This window comes from Homo sapiens, chromosome 18 (genome assembly GCF_000001405.40).
Source record: "Homo sapiens chromosome 18, GRCh38.p14 Primary Assembly".
Lineage (NCBI taxonomy): Eukaryota > Metazoa > Chordata > Mammalia > Primates > Hominidae > Homo > Homo sapiens.
Window position 1 is genome coordinate 76,276,713 of NC_000018.10, and position 18,772 is coordinate 76,295,484.

General features: G+C 39.2%; 1 long non-coding RNA gene across 1 annotated transcript in view; it reads right to left on the minus strand.

Annotated features, from left to right (window-relative positions):
* Nucleotides 1–2,066: 2,066 nt before the first annotated feature.
* LOC105372211 (uncharacterized) overlaps nucleotides 2,067–18,772 on the minus strand; it is a 46,771-nt gene continuing 30,065 nt past the window's right edge. Inside the window, exon 4 of the long non-coding RNA XR_935655.2 lies at nucleotides 2,067–2,907. This is a non-coding gene — a long non-coding RNA (uncharacterized LOC105372211). The remainder of the gene's footprint in view (nucleotides 2,908–18,772) is intronic.

The window sequence follows — 18,772 nt, forward strand, 5'->3', positions numbered from 1 at the left end:
TTCTACATGCATTCTGTTCTCACAACCTACTGTCCTGTGGTCCTGAGAGCATGCCGGCCAAAATGGTGTTGTAGCATTTTCTTTTCAGGAATGCAGTGGCCTGTGGGGTCTGCTGCACATGACTGGCTTGAGCTTTGGGACCCAGCTTGCTCTGGCACATTGACAGTAGACTCTGAAGTTAGTTGTGGTTTAATTTCTTCTTCTCCCTGGATATAAATTTATGAATAAACTGGAACTCCCCACTTGGAGAGAGGGAGCAGCACTCTAAGGGTATCTATCATGCATACAGAGAACTTCCCAGGCATTCAACTCGACATCAGCAGATAACCGTACAGATGCAGATACCTCTTGGAAACAGTCAAAAGACTACATTTTTTTAACAGAAAGGATTCAGTTAAAATGTTAGCTGAGTAATCTGCTAATAGATAATCACACAATACAAAGAAAACGTTTCAGTAAATACTTTGGATTTCTGTCTTCTGCCATAAGTTCCAAAAATGATGGCAACTCAGAATAAAAAGGATTATTTGAGGCAATGGTATCCCAAGTACCCTGATTTGATCATTACATATCATATGCTTGCATCAAAATATTAAATGTACCCCACAAATGTGTACAACTATTATGTACCATATTTTTTCTTAAAAATGGTGTTTAATCCTAATGCACCAAAATTCTCTGTTTATTCCCAGCACATTGGTATCACTTATGAAGCCTCTCCTCTACACAGGATTCTGTTTGGGTGTGAAAATACTGACCAAAATTGAGGCAATACAGCCATTGCTCTTAAAAAGCCTAAAATCAAGAGGAAGACAATAAACATATGAACATTTTAACTGGGACTGACAGTGAGAAGGGGGATAGCCTTGACACACAGCAACAGAAAACACCACCATGACCAAATACAGAGGATTGCAGCCCCTCGGGGAACTGAAGCAGTAGCATCCCACCCCCTCCACTGCACTGAGACATGAATGCTCCTCCCAAGATGAGTGGAGGAAAAGAATGGAAATAAAGACGAGGGAGGAGGAAAAGCTAAGAGAAGAGAAGCTGAACAAACATAACCAAGCTCCTTATTTGCACATCTTAAATAAAGGGCTAATCTAGGTTCCTCCTGCCAATTAAGGTAAATGCGGAAAAATCTGATTTCTGGAGTTGGATGCCGACCTCCCCCATCTCTCTACTGCTCCGTTTCGGAAAGCACAGCTAACTGAATGATAGATGGTGAAGTCACTTGGGCAGTAGCCAGGAGCTATCTCCTTCTGTTCTGAGACCTGCATCCAAATTTGAGCCTGTGAAATGGCTTGGGTGATCTTAATTTGACAGTTGTCAACATTTCAAAATCATTGCCAAGTTCAACCAAATGGAAGTCTTTGATCAGGCATGGCTTTCTGTGTATGTGTGCATGTGAGTGTGGGTGTGTGCCTGTGTGTGTATATCAGAGAGTTGCCAATCTGAGCCCAGATAATACACCTGTGCACCCTTCTTCCGTCATATCTCATTAGCATCTCTCTACATGATGAATTCTGTGGGAGGGTGAGAAAAAAATGGCACTTCAACTTCAATAAGTTTGGTCCAAGAAGGAACAAAAAATATGCACATAAAAATTTTGGATAATGGATTCATTTAAGCATCACAATCTGAAAATAAGTACATTATTGCACAGAATATAAAGAATATAAATGTACATAAAACAGGATATAATCATGGACAAAACACTTCTTAGTATTATTGACTCCGTGCATACATTTTTCAGCACAAACATCTCAGCATAAGCTAAATTTCAGAACCATTTAACCAATTCAGCATCAGTAGAAAAATCATTAATAAAAGGAGATAATAATCATAAAAACAAGGCCTGGTGTGGTGGCTTACACCTGTAATCCTAGCACTTTGGAAGGCCAAGGGGGGTGGATTGCCTGAGGTCAGGAGTTAAGCCTGGCCCTAACATGGCGAAACCCCATCTCTACTGAAAATACAAAAATTAGCCGGACATGGTGGTGGGTGCCTGTAATCCCAGCTACTCTGGAGATTGAGGCAGGAGAATCACTTGAACCTGGGGGTGCTGAAGTTGCAGTGAGCCAAGATCACACCACTTCACCCCAGAATGGAGTGAAACTCCATCTCGGCGGGGGGAAGAACAATGAGATTTACCACATACAAGATATCTCATTTGAAAATGAAACTTTTGGCACAGTAAATATGGCATCACCTTAGGGAAGTTATTGAAATAAAAATGCAAAAATATCTAAATCCTCCATGTAGGGAATATAGCTGTGGGTTTACGAATCTTTTTTCTTTATTATCTAAGGGGCACTCACAGAATCTAAAGGTCATTTCTATTAGTGCCAAATATCAAGAAAGCATTACTAGAAGATAAAGGATATGTTTTTGAGGCTTTCCCTTTTTTTGGTTTCAATATGTTGAAATGATTGCTTCCCAAAAAATTAAAGTCTTCATAAAAGTTGTGGATGTATAAACACAATGTTTGTTTGATAAAAATAGGTCAGAATGGCCTATTTTTGGAAGTATCTAATAAATGTTTATGGAATAAATAAATGGATGGCCAATGAATATAAACAAATCCATATAGTTCCATAAAGCAATAAAAATGTCTTTAAAAGCTGAAATTTCTGGTTAATTCTATGGTAAAAGTATTTCCAAAACTGTCACCAGTTGAACTGTGCTAAGTTCATAAGTTATGGAGATATTGCCAATGGACTTTGACATCCTATAATCAGCTCACTGGAATAGTAACTAAGCATCAATCTCTGAAAAGGTCTAGAATCTTGTCCAATAATCCTAATCAGAGCCTCTGAATAGCTCAGCCTCTGGAGTCAAATACTCACCTGTGATTCGTCACGAGGTGTTTCTTATGCAGACGTGTTGACCAACATAAGGATCCACCTGTCAAGAGACATCAAAACTTCCTCAACTGCCTTTTCCACCTGGCCTTACATGGGTGAACCTGGAGTGACCAGATGTTTTTTAGAACTGCCCCATGACTCAAGGTAGAGTCATGCACCTCCATCTTGTGATTCTATTGCAGGGCTAATTAAGTTTTGTGAAGGAAAAAGAACTCATAAATTATTGCAATGGTTTAGAGAAAGAAGTTTCTTCATGGCCATGGATCCACGTTTCATATTGATGATGGCTATTCATTGGAGTGCCTGCAATGGTCACAGGGTTCCAAGTTTTCCATCAGCAACCAGATATGACTGCCCCAAATAGTCAATGAACTCCAGAAAGTATAGAGATGATTGTACCCGTGATAAAAGTTTTGCATGTTAGAAATGGAAGGAATTATTAGTAATCCTAAACATTTGTATGCCAATATTTTTGGGAGGGTTGATTAAACTTTTTATTTTGAGATAATTGTAGATTTGCATGCAGTTGTAAGAAATAATACATAAATCCAGCACTTTGGGATGCCAAGGTGGGCAGATTACCTGAGGTTAGGAGTTCAAGACCAGCCTGGCCAACATCATGAAACCCCGTCTCTACTAAAAATACAAAAATTAGCTGGATGTGGTGTTGCATCCCTGTAATCCCAGCTACTTGGGAGGTTGAGGCAGGAGAATCACTTGAATCCAGGAGGCAGAAGTTGCAGTGAGCCGAGATCACGCCACTGCACTCCAGCCCAGGTGACAGAATGAGACTCTGTCTCAAAAAAAAATAAAGGAAAGAAAAGAAAAGCAATAATACAGAGGATCCCTTGCACTCTTTCTCCAGTTTCCCTGAATGGTAACATCTTTCAGAACTAGAGTGCAGCATCCCACCAGGATTAACCTAGCCGGGATGCAGAACATGACCTTCTCCACAACTCTCCCTCCTTTCACCCTTTTACAGACACACCCACGTCCCTCCACACCCACCCCATCTTTACCAGTGGAAACAAGCTGTTCCCCATTCCTATAATCATTTCTAGAATATTATGTCAATAAAATCAAACAGCATTTAACTTTTGAGTCTGGCTCTTGGAAACAATTCTCTGGAGATTTGTCCAGATTGTTGTGTGTATCAATAAGACTTCAGTATATTGCTGGGTAATGACCCAGCAATGGTGTGGCTGCTGCTTCTAGGGTGAGGTTACTATTAACAAAGCTGCTATGAACATCCATGGACAGTGCTGGTGTGAAAATACGTTGCATTTCTTTGAGATACATGCCCAGGAGTGTGACTGCTGGATTGCATGTTAAGTGTGTGTTTCATTTTTTTAAGGAACTGCCCAACTTTTTTCTAGAGTGGCTGTACCATTTTACACTCCAACCAGTAATATATGAATGACTCCATTTCTTTGCATCTTCACCAGAATTTGATGTCGACCCTATTTTTTTATGTTAGCCATTTTGATAAATGTGTAACGATATCTCATTGTGGTTTTAATTTGCATTTCCCCAATGGTTAATGATGTTGAACATATTTTTGGATGCTTATTTTCTATCTGTATATCTTCTGGGGTGAAATAGCTGTTTATGACTTTTGTCTGTTTCTAATTGGCTTGTTTCCTTACTGTTGCATTCACTCCCAACTCACTGACTCCTCCTTCCCCTCGTTCATCCCTTGAGCCTGTCCATTGAAATTTTATTCCACTTATTGTATTTTTCACTTTTAAAATTTCAGTTTGCTTCTTTATACCTTCTACTATTTTGCTGAGGCTTTCTATTTCTTTGCTGGGATTTTCTATTTCTTTTCTCCAACTTTCTGTTTCATTCGTTTGTTTCAAGTGTGTTCATACCAGCTCGTTGACACATTGTTGTAGGGCTTCTTTCAACCCATTTTGAATAATTCTAACACGTGTGACCTTTGGTCTTGGCAGCTTCTGATCATCTTTTCTCATTCCATTTGGGATCTCCCTGATTCTTCGTATGACAAGCGGTTTTCCATTGAAACACAGACATTTTGGGCATTGTCTTATGCGGCTCTGGGTCTTCTCTAAACCTTCCTTTTAGCTGGCTCCCTCTGGCATCCCTCCAGTGGGGAAGGGAGCCACCACCACCTCATGACTGCCAAATGAGAACAGAAGTCCAAGAGCCTCAGCTGCACTCCACTGACACCCAGGGTGGGGCTGGTCATTACTGTGGTGGAGGTGGTTTCTGCCTTCCCACAAGCCTCTGCTGATACTTTCCTGTCCAGAAGGGTCTGGAAAGCCGGGCATCTGCTCCGTTCACAGCCTTGAATGACACCAGCACTCTGACCCCAAACCAGAGGGGCAGCAAGGAGCCTCCTTACCACTCAGACTGCCAAAGACTGGGCATCTTAAACCACAGACAGTAATTTTCTCATAGTTCTGGAGGCCAGAAGTTGAAGATTAAGGTGCCAGCAGAGCCCATGTCTGGTGAGGGCTCTCTTTATGGCTTGCAGACAGCAGCCTTCTTGTTGTGTCTTCACATGGACTTTCATCTCTCTCTTCCTCTTTTTTATAAGGACACTAATCCTGTAGGACCAGGGTCCCACCCTTATGACCACACTTAACATAATTATCTCCTTGTAGAGCCTTTCTCCAAACACAATCATGTTGTGGGTTAAGGCTTCAGCATATGAATTTTGGAGGATACAATTCAGTGCATGGCAGGAGGGGAAGTCCAGGTTCCCAAAGTGGTCTGCACTGACACAGGCATCATTGCCAGCCAGCAAGATGAAACTCCCATCTCCTGGAATGCAGACTTCTCTGACACCACCCTAGTGGGGAATTGGCTGCCTCAGCCCACATGTCTAGGTTCTCCACCAGGCCTTTTCTGGTGGGCAGGGCCACAGTTTTCTTGCAGTGTTTCACTGATGGAGTGGTTATTGACTAAAAGTTATCTGTTGTACTTGGCTGCCTCTTTCCTGCTCCTCTGGCAAGAGAGCAAGTTTTGTAGGGGCTGCTTTCATCTGAGCATGTTGACTTTTCCAGGTTGTCAGCTTCTTTAGCTCTAAGTCTGGGATGTATAAGGCAAAAGGAAAACCCAGAAAACCCAAGGTCACTGGGAAGCCAGCCTCCTCTCTCTTGCCTTTCACAGTCTTTTTTTTTTTTTTTTTTTTTTTGAGACAAGTCTCACACTTTCACCCAGGCTGGAGTGCAGTGGCGCAATCTCGGCTCACTGCAAGCTCTGTCTCCCGGGTTCACACCATTCTCCTGCCTCAGCCTCCCGAGTAGCTGTGACTACAGGCGCCCACCACCACGCCTGGCTAATTTTTTTATATTTTTGGTAGAGATGGGGTTTCACTACATTGGCCAAGATGGTGTCGATCTCTTGACCTTGTGAACCGCCTGCTTCAGCCTCCCTATGTGCTGGGATTACAGGCGTGAGCCACCGCACCTGGCCAGTAGTTTATATTTCTTAAAATAATTTTAGAAACATTTGTTTTTAAGTGTATTGGTATAAATACATTATTCTTTTTTTTTTCTTTTTTTGAGATGGAGTCTCACTCTGTCACCTAGGCTGGAGTGCAGTGGTGCGATCTCAGCTCACTGCAAGCTCCACCTCCCAGGTTCATGCCATTCTCCTGCCTCAGCCTCCCAAGTAGCTGGGACTACAGGTGCCCACCACCACGCCTGGCTAATTTTTTATATTTTTGGTAGAGACAGGGTTTCACTACATTGGCCAAGATGGTCTCGATCTCCTGACCTTGTGATCCGCCCGCCTCAGCCTCCCAAAGTGCTGGGATTACAGGCGTGAGCCACTGCACCCGGCCCACAGTCATCTTATGTGTGTTGTATATATCATGTCCAGAGGGGTTAGTTGTGCTTAATGGGAGGAATAGAGAAAACTATATTTACCCCATCTTTCCAGGCACAGAAGTCTCAACCATTGTTTGTTAAGGAGTTCCAATTAGATGTCAACATTTACAAATTTTCTATAACTCTGTTTCTATGTTTTCTTAAACAATCAGAAACACTATTCCCTGAGAGCAGCAGAGGCAAGACCTACGTCATGTCTGCTCCCTTGAAAAGGTCACAGTTACTCTGGTAGCTTCAGTTCTCACCTGAACGTTCACACACATCGATTACTGGCCCAGCCCTCATGGAGAAGGCTGAGCCAAGCTTGAATGAGGGTCTGGGCTATTGCTGGGTGTGTCAGTCACGGTTCAACCAGAAAAATAGAACCACTGGAAGAGACAGACAGACAGATACAGATAGAGAGAGATGGAGAACTGTGTGTCAAGAATTGCCCTGTGTGATCATGAGACTGAAAACTAAATCTAAAATCTCGTAGGGCAGGCAGTCAGGAAGGGTGTCCCCAGTGCAGGGTGAGCCATGAACACCCTGATGCTATTTGGAGTCCAGGGCAAGGAATACCTGAGCCTTCCTGTGCAGGGCTCTGCTGATCACACCCACCAGCATGCTCCACTTACTTAAGGTCAACTGAGAAGGATTCAATGGCTTCTGCAAAATCCCTTCACAGCAGACCACAATGAGTATTTGGTTGAATAAGCAGGCAAAGTGTGTGCATGCTACACAATGGCAGCTCCTCCTGCCTCCTGTCCTCATCCAGCCTAGCTTAGTTGATGTCAATAAACATCATATGGGTGGAGGAACAGGCACACCAAGGGAGGGCTAGTGTCCTGCACACTCACTTCCACATGCTGTCACTCATTTCTCATTATCACAGACATAACAAGCATCATACCAACCTACGCTCATTTTTAAAATTTTTCAAAAGGTATCACTTGCTCCACTCCTAGGTATATACCTAAAAGAATTAAAAACAGGTATCAAACAAGTACATGGATAGACAGGGTCACAGCAGCATTGTTCACAATCACCAAAAAGTAGAAATGGCCCAAATGCACACTGATGGATGGATGGGTAAACAAATTGTGGTATAGCAATACAACAGAATATTATTCAGCCATAGAAAGGAATGGAGTACTCACACATGGTACAATGTGAATGAACACTGAAAGCATTATGCCAAGTGAAATAAGTCAGACACAAAAGATCATATGTTGTGTATATGATATTTCCACAATAGGTAAACCTGTGGGGACAAAAACCAGACTAATGATTCTAAGACTAGTGGGTAGGAGGCAAGGGAGATGGACTGCTGACTGGGTACGAGGTATACTTTTGGGCAGGTTAAAAGGTTTGGGGACCAAATAGGGGTGGAGCTTACACAACATTGTGAATGTATTGAATGACACCAAAGCGTGGACTTTAAAATTGTTAATTATATGCTAATTAACATAAATGTATATATTCTAAACAGTATCACTTTAGGAAAATGTACTCAGAGGAAGAAAGTTCTCCCTGCTGCCCTCTCTGTGAACCTGAAATACCTAATGCAGGCCCGACCTTTCACATATGAGGATGCTAAATCACCTGCCCCAGGCCAAACGGGTAAGGAGACAGAGACAGGGCAGGGACATCACTCTGAAAAATGACGACTCTTTAAACATTAAAACAGCTTCTCTCTGCTAAATATGGTGAGTGTGTCGTGTTGTTTATATTATTTCTGGGAAAGCACATTTTTTCTTTGTTTGTTGGTTGGTTGGTTTGTGTTTTGTTTTTTTTTTCTTTGAGACGGAGTCTCGCTCTGTCGCCCAGGCTGGAGTGCAGTGGTGCGATCTCAGCTCACTACAAGCTCCGCCTCCCGGGTTCACACCATTCTCCTGCCTCAGCCTCCCAAGTAGCTGGGACTACAGGCACCTGCCACCACACCTGGCTAATTCTTTTTGTATTTTTAGTAGAGACCATGTTAGCCAGGATGGTCTCAATCTCCTGACCTTGTGATGTGCCCGCCTCGGCCTCCCAAAGTGCTGGGATTACAGGCGTGAGCCACCGCGCCCAACCAAGCACACGTTTTTAAGAGAAAATAAATGCCACCACATCAGCCTGCCTAGTCAAATTTCTGCTCATGACAAGTTGAGGCTCAAAGGTAAAGAGAAGAAAGCTAGAGATGGAAAATTTGAGAGAAGCCTCACAATGTAAAGAAAGGAAGACACTCAAGGTAAACCCCACAAGATAGTAAATCCACTACTGCATGTCTCCAAGAGCCCTTTCTCTTGAGCTAAACCTAAACCTCGTGGAGGTGAGCAATGCGCACCTGTGACTTCAGCAATAATCAATGCTGTCTCTGATAAGGAAATCCAGTCAGGGGTCCAGAGAGTAGAAGGAGAAAAGAGCAGTCACTGCAGGGCAAAAAGCAGAGGCCACCCCACTGCACCCACCCAGACTCCCAAGACATCTAGGGAAGAAGCTGGGAGGCTCAGACATGGGCCACAAGTACAGAGCACTGTGTTTTGCTGCTGTTCCCATGACTATGTTTGCCCCCAGCCTGGAGGAAACAGGATTTCATCTCAAACTTGCTGCTTTTGTGAAAGTGTTGACCAGCATGCCACCCTCCACACCCCTCCCTGCAGAAGCACAAAGGGAGGTGGGACCGATTCTCAGAAGCAGAGGTCAGCACAGCATCCTGGGGTGGATCGGGTGGATGTATGAGGCAGAGGAAGTGAAGGGGCTGCAGGGACAGAGAGCGACTGGACTGGAGCTCAGGTTTAGGGGGACCTACTGCTTCTTGGGGGGTTTCAGTTTGAAGACAGACTAAGTGGGGTAAGTTAAATGCTCATGGAATTGGTCAGGCTATGGATTTGGTATTTCCTATCCCTTTCCAAACAGGAACTTACAAGGACGTTTTGTGTTTCACAAAGCTCCTTGGAGAGGGATAGTCTATGCTTTTCTTTGGTAGCACATTCCCAATCTTACTAACACTCAATTTCCACAGTCATTTTCTGGTGTCACCTTTTTTTTTATTAATAATAATGTTTGTTCGCTTGTTTGTTTTTTGCATTTCTCAAGCTCTTTTGTCATTAAGGGGAAGCTTTGTGGCCATCCTAACCAGTTCACACACTAAAGAGACTATCTCGGGTTATGCTCAAAACTACCTACACAATTGTAATTTCATAAAGAATGTTCAGGCCAATGGTCCATGATAAAGAATCCTTTGAAGTAGGTAGAGGGAAAACTACTTTCTTAACTCTGAGAGAGGAAATTTAGGAAACTGGTGTTGTATTAACGAAGGATGGATTTCTTCTTTCTACAATAAGTGTTTATGTACATATCCTTCAAGTAACAGAAGCAGATACGTAAATAATTGAATTTATGAGACATTATTTACAGAAAAATCTCTGTTCTATCTGGGATCAAGATATAGAAGAAAAGTTAATTCACTTTCTAGTGTTTACACATAGCAAATGATACCAATTTGAATACTCTTCTAGGTACTTTACATGCCATCTTTAATTCTCACCATAATCCTACAAATTAGTCTGTATTGATCTCATTTTACAATGAGAAAAACAGGCTGACAACCTGCCCAAGGTCTAACAGCTCACAATTATTTTCTTAGCCTAACCCTGGACTTGGGTGACACAATACTCTTTGATTGAAGGAAAAATGCACCAGTTAGCTATGCCCCAAATAGGACCACACATTGACAATAGTGTGGATTACTGTATTTGAAAACCCAAATTTTACTACTGTCACTGATATATGAGATTTCTCCTTCCACTTCATCACTTCAGCCTTTCCTAGAGAAAGTCTGTGGGTTTCTATTATTTTCTGTAATTTCTCAAACTGAATGTCTGCTCAAGGCCAGAAAAACCAGGCAACCTGAAGATAAGTTGCTATCAAGTTTCATTTTACATCTGTTTCTTTTGGTTTCCAAACTGGCTGTATAGATTTTCTTCATTTCTATAATTTTATGAAGGAAAGAATTCATTAATGAAAATAGAGGGAGAAAATATGTAAATTAGTTAAAACAGAAAATTAATATCCATAAAACACAAGGAGTTTCTTCAAATCAATGAGAAAAATCCAAGCAAAAAGGCAATGGATATAAATAAGCTTTCCACAAGAGAGAAATCAAATGACACAAAATTTATGAAAATATGCTCAATCATACCTCTAATCAAGATGAGATCATGAATTCCTCTTCTGTTAATAAAAGAGTAGCTTGTATTAGACTAACTTCCAACGGATAAAAAATATAAACTTTGAAAAAAATATAAAAATCACCTAATTAGAGATTAATGAAAAGGAGGCACAAAACCCAAGGGAACTTAATATTTTAAAGAGGGGCCTGCACAGGGTGAGATGCAGGATTATGTGGCTTTTTCTGAGAGCACACGCTCACCTGGCTGGAATAAAGCTGCTGAGACTCAAGCGGAAAGCCAGGGATTACCGCCTTAAGAAGTCAGAATACGGCCGGGCGCGGTGGCTCACGCCTGTAATCCCAGCACTTTGGGAGGCCGAGGCGGGTGGATCACGAGGTCAGGAGATCGAGACCATCCTGGCTAACAAGGTGAAACCCCGTCTCTACTAAAAATACAAAAAATTAGCCGGGCGCGGTGGCGGGCGCCTGTAGTCCCAGCTGCTCGGGAGGCTGAGGCAGGAGAATGGCGTGAACCCGGGAGGGGGAGCTTGCAGTGAGCGGAGATGGCGCCACTGCACTCCAGCCTGGGCGACAGAGCAAGACTCCGTCTCAAAAAAAAAAAAAAAAAGAAGTCAGAATACAAAATTTGGGACCACCAGAGTGCTAGAAATTGAAAGAAGAAATCACAGAAAGGATGATATACAAATGAGAAGTTCTACTTCCAAATATAAAGTCTGCCCAAAATTTTAGCTAATTTCTGATTTACATATGCACAGGAGAAACTTCAGGAGGATCAGCAGAAAAGATGAGTAAAAGGGAGAGATTTTAGTGGTGACAGAGAAACAGGGTTTGGAGTTTGAGTTCAGCCAGGGTAATTGACTGCTAGAATGTTCTTCAAAAAACATATAAAAAAATCCAAAGTCTGCAGTGTAATAGCCAGACTCTCAAGTACCCAAAAATTAGTAGACATGCAAAAAAAAAAAATCAACCATAGTCAAGAGAAAAAGCAATCAAAACTGACTCCAGCCGGGCACGGTGGCTCACGCCTGTAATCCTAGCACTTTGGGAGGCCGAGGCGGGCAGATCACGAGGTCAGGAGATCGAGACCATCCTGGCTAACATGGTGAAACCCGTCTCTATTAAAAAAAATACAAAAAGAATTAGCCGGGCATGGTGGCAAGCGCCTGTAGTCCCAGCTACTCGGGAGGCTGACGCAGGAGAATGGTGTGAACCTGGGAGGCACAGGTTGCAGTGAGCTGAGATCATGCCACTGCACTCCAGCCTGGGCGACACAGTGAGACTCCGTCTCAAAAAAAAAAAAAAAAAAAAAAACTGACTCCAAGATATCCTATATATTAAAAATTAGCAGAAAATAACTTAAATCAGATATTATAAATATGTTCAAAAACTTGAAGGAAAATATAGTCATAATCAATGAAAAAATTACAAATACAGCAGAGTAAGAGTAACTATTAAAACAAAAACCAAATGAAAATTATAGAACTGAGAACTCCATTAACTGAAAGAGTGAATATAGTGAAGTAGCACAAGAAAGAATCAGTAAAATTGAAAATGAATGTACACAATAATACAATCTGAAGAATAGAGAGGGTAAAAAAATAAATAAATAAAAGGACAGCATCTCACAGACCTAAAGGAGAATATCCAAGTTATAAATTTATACACAGGCCGGGCGTGGTGGCTCACGCCTGTAATCCCAGCACTTTGGGAGGCCAAGGCAGGTGGATCATGAGGTCAGGAGATCAAGATCTTCCTGGCCAATGTGGTGAAACCCTGTTTCTACTAAAATACAAAATATTAGCCAGGCGTGGTGGTGCGTGCCTGTCGTCTCAGCTACTCAGGAGGCTGAGGCAGGGGAATAGCTTGAACCCCGGAGGCGGAGGCTGCAGTGAGCCGAGATCGTGCCACTCCACTCCAGCCTGGCGACAGAGCAAGACTCCGTCTCAAAAATAAATAAATAAATACATACATACATACATAAATTTGTACACATAATTGGAGTTCCATAAGGGCAAAGCAAAAAAATTAAGAAATAAGGTTGAAATGTTTCCAATTCAGTGAAGAATATAAGCTTACAGATTCAAGGCTCTCAGTGAACTCCCAGTAAAAAAAAAAAATTCAAAGAAAAAAGAAAATCTTGAAAATAGTTGAAGGAAAAGACACATTACATACAAGAAAACAATATCAGTGATATTTATCTTCTCACCAGACACAATGGAGGAAATGGAATTAACATCACCAAAGTGCTGAAAGAAACTGTAAGCCCAGAATTCTTTATCAAGTAAAACTATTATTTAAAAATGAACATTAAAAAAAACACTTATTTCTTGTTCTGTATATCTGCATAACAAGTAAATTTTTGTAGTCTGAAGGCAAATGACACCGGGTAGATCTATAAGAAGGAAAGAAGAATACTAAAAGTGGTAGTTGTGTAGGTTGCTATCAAAAGTTATAATTTTCTCAATTTATTTAAGACATATCACTATTTAAAGCAAATATTACAGCAATGCATTGTAAAAATAATAACATGCATAGCTGTAATATACATATAAGAACAATAGCACAAAGGATGGAGGAACTATGCTGTTATAAATTTCTTCCTAATTATGTGAAATAGTATAATATTAGCCTTAAGCAGAGCATTATTAAAGGTGCAGTGTAATCTCCACAGCAATCACTAACACGTAATGTAAAGTGCTAACACATAATGTAAAGTGTAACACATAATGTAAAGTACTAACACATAATGTAAAGTGCTATAGCCAAAAAGACAATTAAAGAATTATATTAGAAGCCTAAAAGAATATTTGAATAACCAACAATAAGAGAGGAAAGGAAGAATAAAGGAACAATGCAACAAACAAAAAAGATAAATGAAAACAAAAGAGTAAACCACAAATAGACTATATTAATAATTACATTGAGTGTAGGTTAATTTTCATCCAAGAAAAAGGCAGGGATTCTGAGACTGGATAAAAAATGTAAACCTCAATGATGTGCTAACTACTAGATTCCTGTAAATATAAATATCAACGTAAAACATAAATGTACAGGTTGAAAGTAAAAGGTTGAAATATACATTACATATATTTTATAAAAATAAGCTGCTAATAGCTACATTTTATTTTCAATTTCCATGGGTACATAATAGGTGTATGTATTTATGGAGTACATGAGAGATTTTGATACAGACATGCAATGTGTAATAATCACATCAGGGTAAATGGGTATCCATCAACTCAAGCATTTATCCCTTGTGTTACAAACAATCCAATTATACTTTTTTAGTTTTTTTAATGTACAATTAAATTATTTTTTAATCAGATTATTATATTTTCCCTATAGAGTTGCTTGAACTCCATATTCTGTTTATTAATCCTTTCTCAGATGAGTAGTTTGCAAATATTTTCTCCCATTCTGTGAGTTGTCTCTTCACTTTGTTGATTTTTTTCCTTTGCTGTGCAGAAGCTTTTTAACCTGATGTGATCCCATTTGTCCATTTTTGCTTTGGTTGCCTGTGTTTGTGGGGTATTACTCAAGAAATCTTTGCCCACTCCAATGTCCTGGAGAGTTCCTCCAATGTTTTCTTTTAGTAGTTTCATGGTTTGAGGTCTTATGTTTAAGTCTTTAATCCATTATGATTTGATTTATATATGTGGCGAGAGATAGGGGTCTAGTTTCATTCTGCATATGGATATCCAGTTTTCCCAGCATCATTTATTGAAGAGACTTTTCTTTATACAATGTATGTTCTTAGAACCTTTGTCAGAAATGAGTTCACGGTAAGTGTATGGATTTGTTTCTGGGTTCCATTGTTCTATGTGTCTATTTTGTTCCATTGTTCTATGTGTCTGTTTTTATGCCAGTACCATATTGTTTTGGTTACTATAGTTCTGTAGTGTAATTTCAAGTTAGGTATTGTGATTCTTCCAGTTCTTTTCTTTTCACTTAGGATAGCTTTGGCTATTCTGGGTCTTTTGTGGTTCCATATACATTTTAGAATTGTTTTCTCTATTTCTGTGAAGAACATCATTGGTATTTTGACAGAGATTGCACCAAATCTGTAGATTGCTTTGGGTAGCAGGGTCATTTTAACAATGTTGATTCTTCCAATCCATCAACGTGGAACATCTTTCCATGTTTTGGTGTCTATTCAATTTCGTCCATCAGTGTTTTATAGTTTTCATTATAGAGATCTTTCACTTCTTTGTCATTATAGAGATCTTTCACTTCTTTGGTTAAGTTAATTCCTAGCTATTTAATTTTATTCGTGGCTATTCTAAATGGGATTACTTTTTTATTTCTTTTTCAGATTGTTCGCTGTTGGCATATAGAAATGTTACTGGTCTTTGTATGTTGATTTTGTATCCTGCAACTTTACCGAATTTATTTATCGGTTCTAATAGTTGTTTTGTAGAGTCTTTAGACTTTTCAAAACATAAGGTCATATCATCAGCAGACAAGGATAATTTGATTTCTCCCTTTCCAATTTGGATGCCCTTTATTTGCCTCGCTTGTCTAATTCCTCTAGCTAGGACTTCCAGTACTATGTTGGATAACAGTGTTCAAAGGGGAAATTCTTGTCATGTTCTCGGTCTTAGAGGAAAAGTTTTCAGGTTTTTCTCATTCATTATGACACTAGCTGTGGGTCAGTCACATATGGCTTTTATTATGTTCAGGTATGTTCTCTCTATACTGTTTTTTTGAGGGTTTTTTTTATCATGAAGGGATGTTGAATTTTATCAAATGCCTTTTCAGTTTCAATTGAAATGATTATATGGTTTCATCCTTCATTCTGTTGATATAATGTATCATATTGATTGATTTGTGTATGTTGAACCACCCTTGCATCCCTGGGATAAATTCCACTTGGCCATGATAAGTGATCTTTTTAATGTGTTGTTGAATTTTGTTTTCTAGTATTTTGAGAGAAATTTTGCATCAATATTCATCAGAAACATGGGTCCATAGTTTGCTTTTTTTGATATGCCTTTGTTTGGTTTTGGTATGAGAGAAATACTAGCCTCAAGGAATGAGTTTGGAAGTATTCTATCCTCCTCCACTTTTAAGAATAGTTTGAGTAGGATTGGTATTAGTTCTTCTTTAAATGTTTGGTAGAATTCAGCAATGAAGCCAGCAGGTCCCAGGCTGTTGCTTGCTAGGAGACACTTTATTATGGCTTTGATATCATTACTTGTTATTGGTCTTTTCAGGTTTTGGATTTCTTCATGGTTCACTCTTGGTAGGTTGTGTGTGTCTAGGACTTTATTTCTTTTGGATTTTCCAATTTATTGGCATATGGTTGCTCATAATAGCCATTAATCATCCTTTGAATTTCTGCAGTATTGATTGTAATGTCTCGTTTTCCATCTCTGATTTATTTGGGTCTTTTCTCTTTTTTTCCTAGTTTGGTGAAAGGTTTGTCAATTTTGTTTATCTTTTCAGAAAGCCAACTTTTCATTTTGTTAATCTTTTGTATTACTTTATTGATTTCAATTTTATTTATTTCTACTCTGATGTTTATCATTTATTTTCCTCTACTAACATTGAGTTTGGTTTGCTCTTGCTTTTCTAGTTCTTTAAGATGTATTGCTAGGTTTTGAAGTTTCTCTTCCTTTTTGATATGGGGGCTTATAGCTATAAACTTCCCTCTTAGTACTGTTTTCACTGTATCCCACAGGTTTTGATATGTTGTGTTTCAATTATTATTTGTCTCAAAAAAATTTCAATTTTCTTCTTTATTTCTCCATTGACCCACTGGTCATTCAGAGCATATTATTTAATTTCTATATGTTTGTGTAGTTTCCAAAATTCCTGTCTTTATTTATTTCTCATTTTATTCCATTGTAGTCAGAGAAGATATTTTATATTAGTTAAGTTTTAGTGAATGTTTTAAGACTTGTTTCGTAGCCTAACATATGGTCTATCCTTGAGAATGCTCCATGGGCTGAGGAGAAGAATGTGTTCTGCAACCATCAGATGAAACGTTTTGTAAATATTTATTAGATCCATTTTGTCTTTAGTGCAGATTAGGTCCAATGTTTCTTTGTTGATTTTCTGTCTGCATGATCTGTCCAATGCTGAAAGTGGAATGTTGAAATCTCCAGCTTTTATTGTACTGGGGCCTGTCTCTCTTTAGCTCTAATAATATTTGTGCTTACATATCTGGGTGCTCCAGTGTTGAGTGTATATATACTTACAATTGTTATATCCTCTTGCTGAATTGACCCCTTTATCATTTTATAATCACCTTTGTCTCTTTTTACAGTTTTTGTCTTCAAATCTATTTTATCCAATGTAACTATCCTGCCCTTTTTTTGGCTTCTGTTGGCATGGAATATATTTCTCCATCCCTTTATTTTCCGTCTATGTGTGTCCTTATAGGTAAAGTGTGTTTCTTGTAGGCTATAGATGGTTGGCTTTTGCTTTTTTAACCATTCACCCACTCTACATCTTTTGATTGGTGAGTTTAGTCTATTTACATTAAATGTTATTATTAATAAGTTAGGACTTACTCTTGCCATTTTGTTGTTTGTTTTCTCGTTGTTTTGTGGTCTTCTCTTCCTTCTTTCATTCCTTCTGGTCTTCCTTTTAATGAAGGTGATTTTCGCTAGCGGGATGATTTAATCTCTTGCTTTTTATTTTTTGTGTATCTTTTGTATGGTTCTTGATTTGAGGTCACCATGAGGCTAGCAATTCATATCTTATAACTGATGACAACTTAACACTGATTACATGAATAAACAAAGCAAAAAGAACATTAATGAAAACTCTACAATTTAACTTTGTCCCCTTGCTTTTTAACTTTTTGTTGCTTCAGTCTGTATCTTATTGTACTGTCTATGTCTGGAAAAGTTGTAGTTATTATTTTTTACTGGTTCATCCTTCTACTTAAGATAACAGTAGTTTATGTTCCATAATTACTGTGTTACAATATTCTGTGTTTTTCTGGGCATGTACTATTACCAGTGAGTTTTGTACCTTCAGGTGATTTGTTATTATTTGCTAATTAGCGTTCTTTTCTTTCACATTAAATAACTCTCTTTAGCATTTCTTGTGGAACAGGTCTGGTGTTAACGAAATTCCTCAACTTTTGTTTGTCTAGGAAAGTCTTTATTTCTCCTTCCTGTTTGAAGGGTGTTTTCACTGTTTAAACTATTCTAAGGTTAAAGGTTTTTCCTTCAGTACTTTAACTATGTCACGCCAATCTCTCCTGGTCTGTAAGGTTTACACTGAAAAGCCTGCATCAGGCATATTGGTCCTCCATTGTAATTTATTTCTTTACTCTTGCTCCTTTTAGGGTCCTTTCTTTATGTTTGATTTTTGGGAGGTTGATTATTAAATGCCTTGTGCTGGTCTTCTTTGGGTTAAATCTGCTACATTACTATAAGCTTCTTGTACTTGAATATTGATACCTTTCTCTAGGTATGGGAATTTCTCTGTTATTATCCCTTTGAATAAGACTTATACCCCTATCTTTCCCTTCTAATGCCAATAATTTTTGGATTTGCCCTTTTGAGGCTATTTTCTAGATCTTGTAGGCAAGCTTCATTCATTTTTATTGTTTCTTTTGTCTCCTCTGACAGTGTATTTTCAAATAGCCTGTCTTCAAGCTCACTAATTCTTTCTTCTGTTTGATCAATTCTGCTATTAATAGACTCTGATACATTCTTTAACATGTTGATTGCATTTTTCAACTCCAGAATTTCTGCTTGATTCTTTTAAATTATTTCAATTACTTGGTTAAACTTATCTGATAAGATTCTAAATTCCTTCTCTGTGTTATCTTGAATTTCTCTGAGTTTCCTCAAAACAGCTATTTTGAATTCTCTGAAATATCACGTCTCTGTCTCTCCAGGATTGGTCCCTGGTCACTTACTAAGTTCATTTTGTGA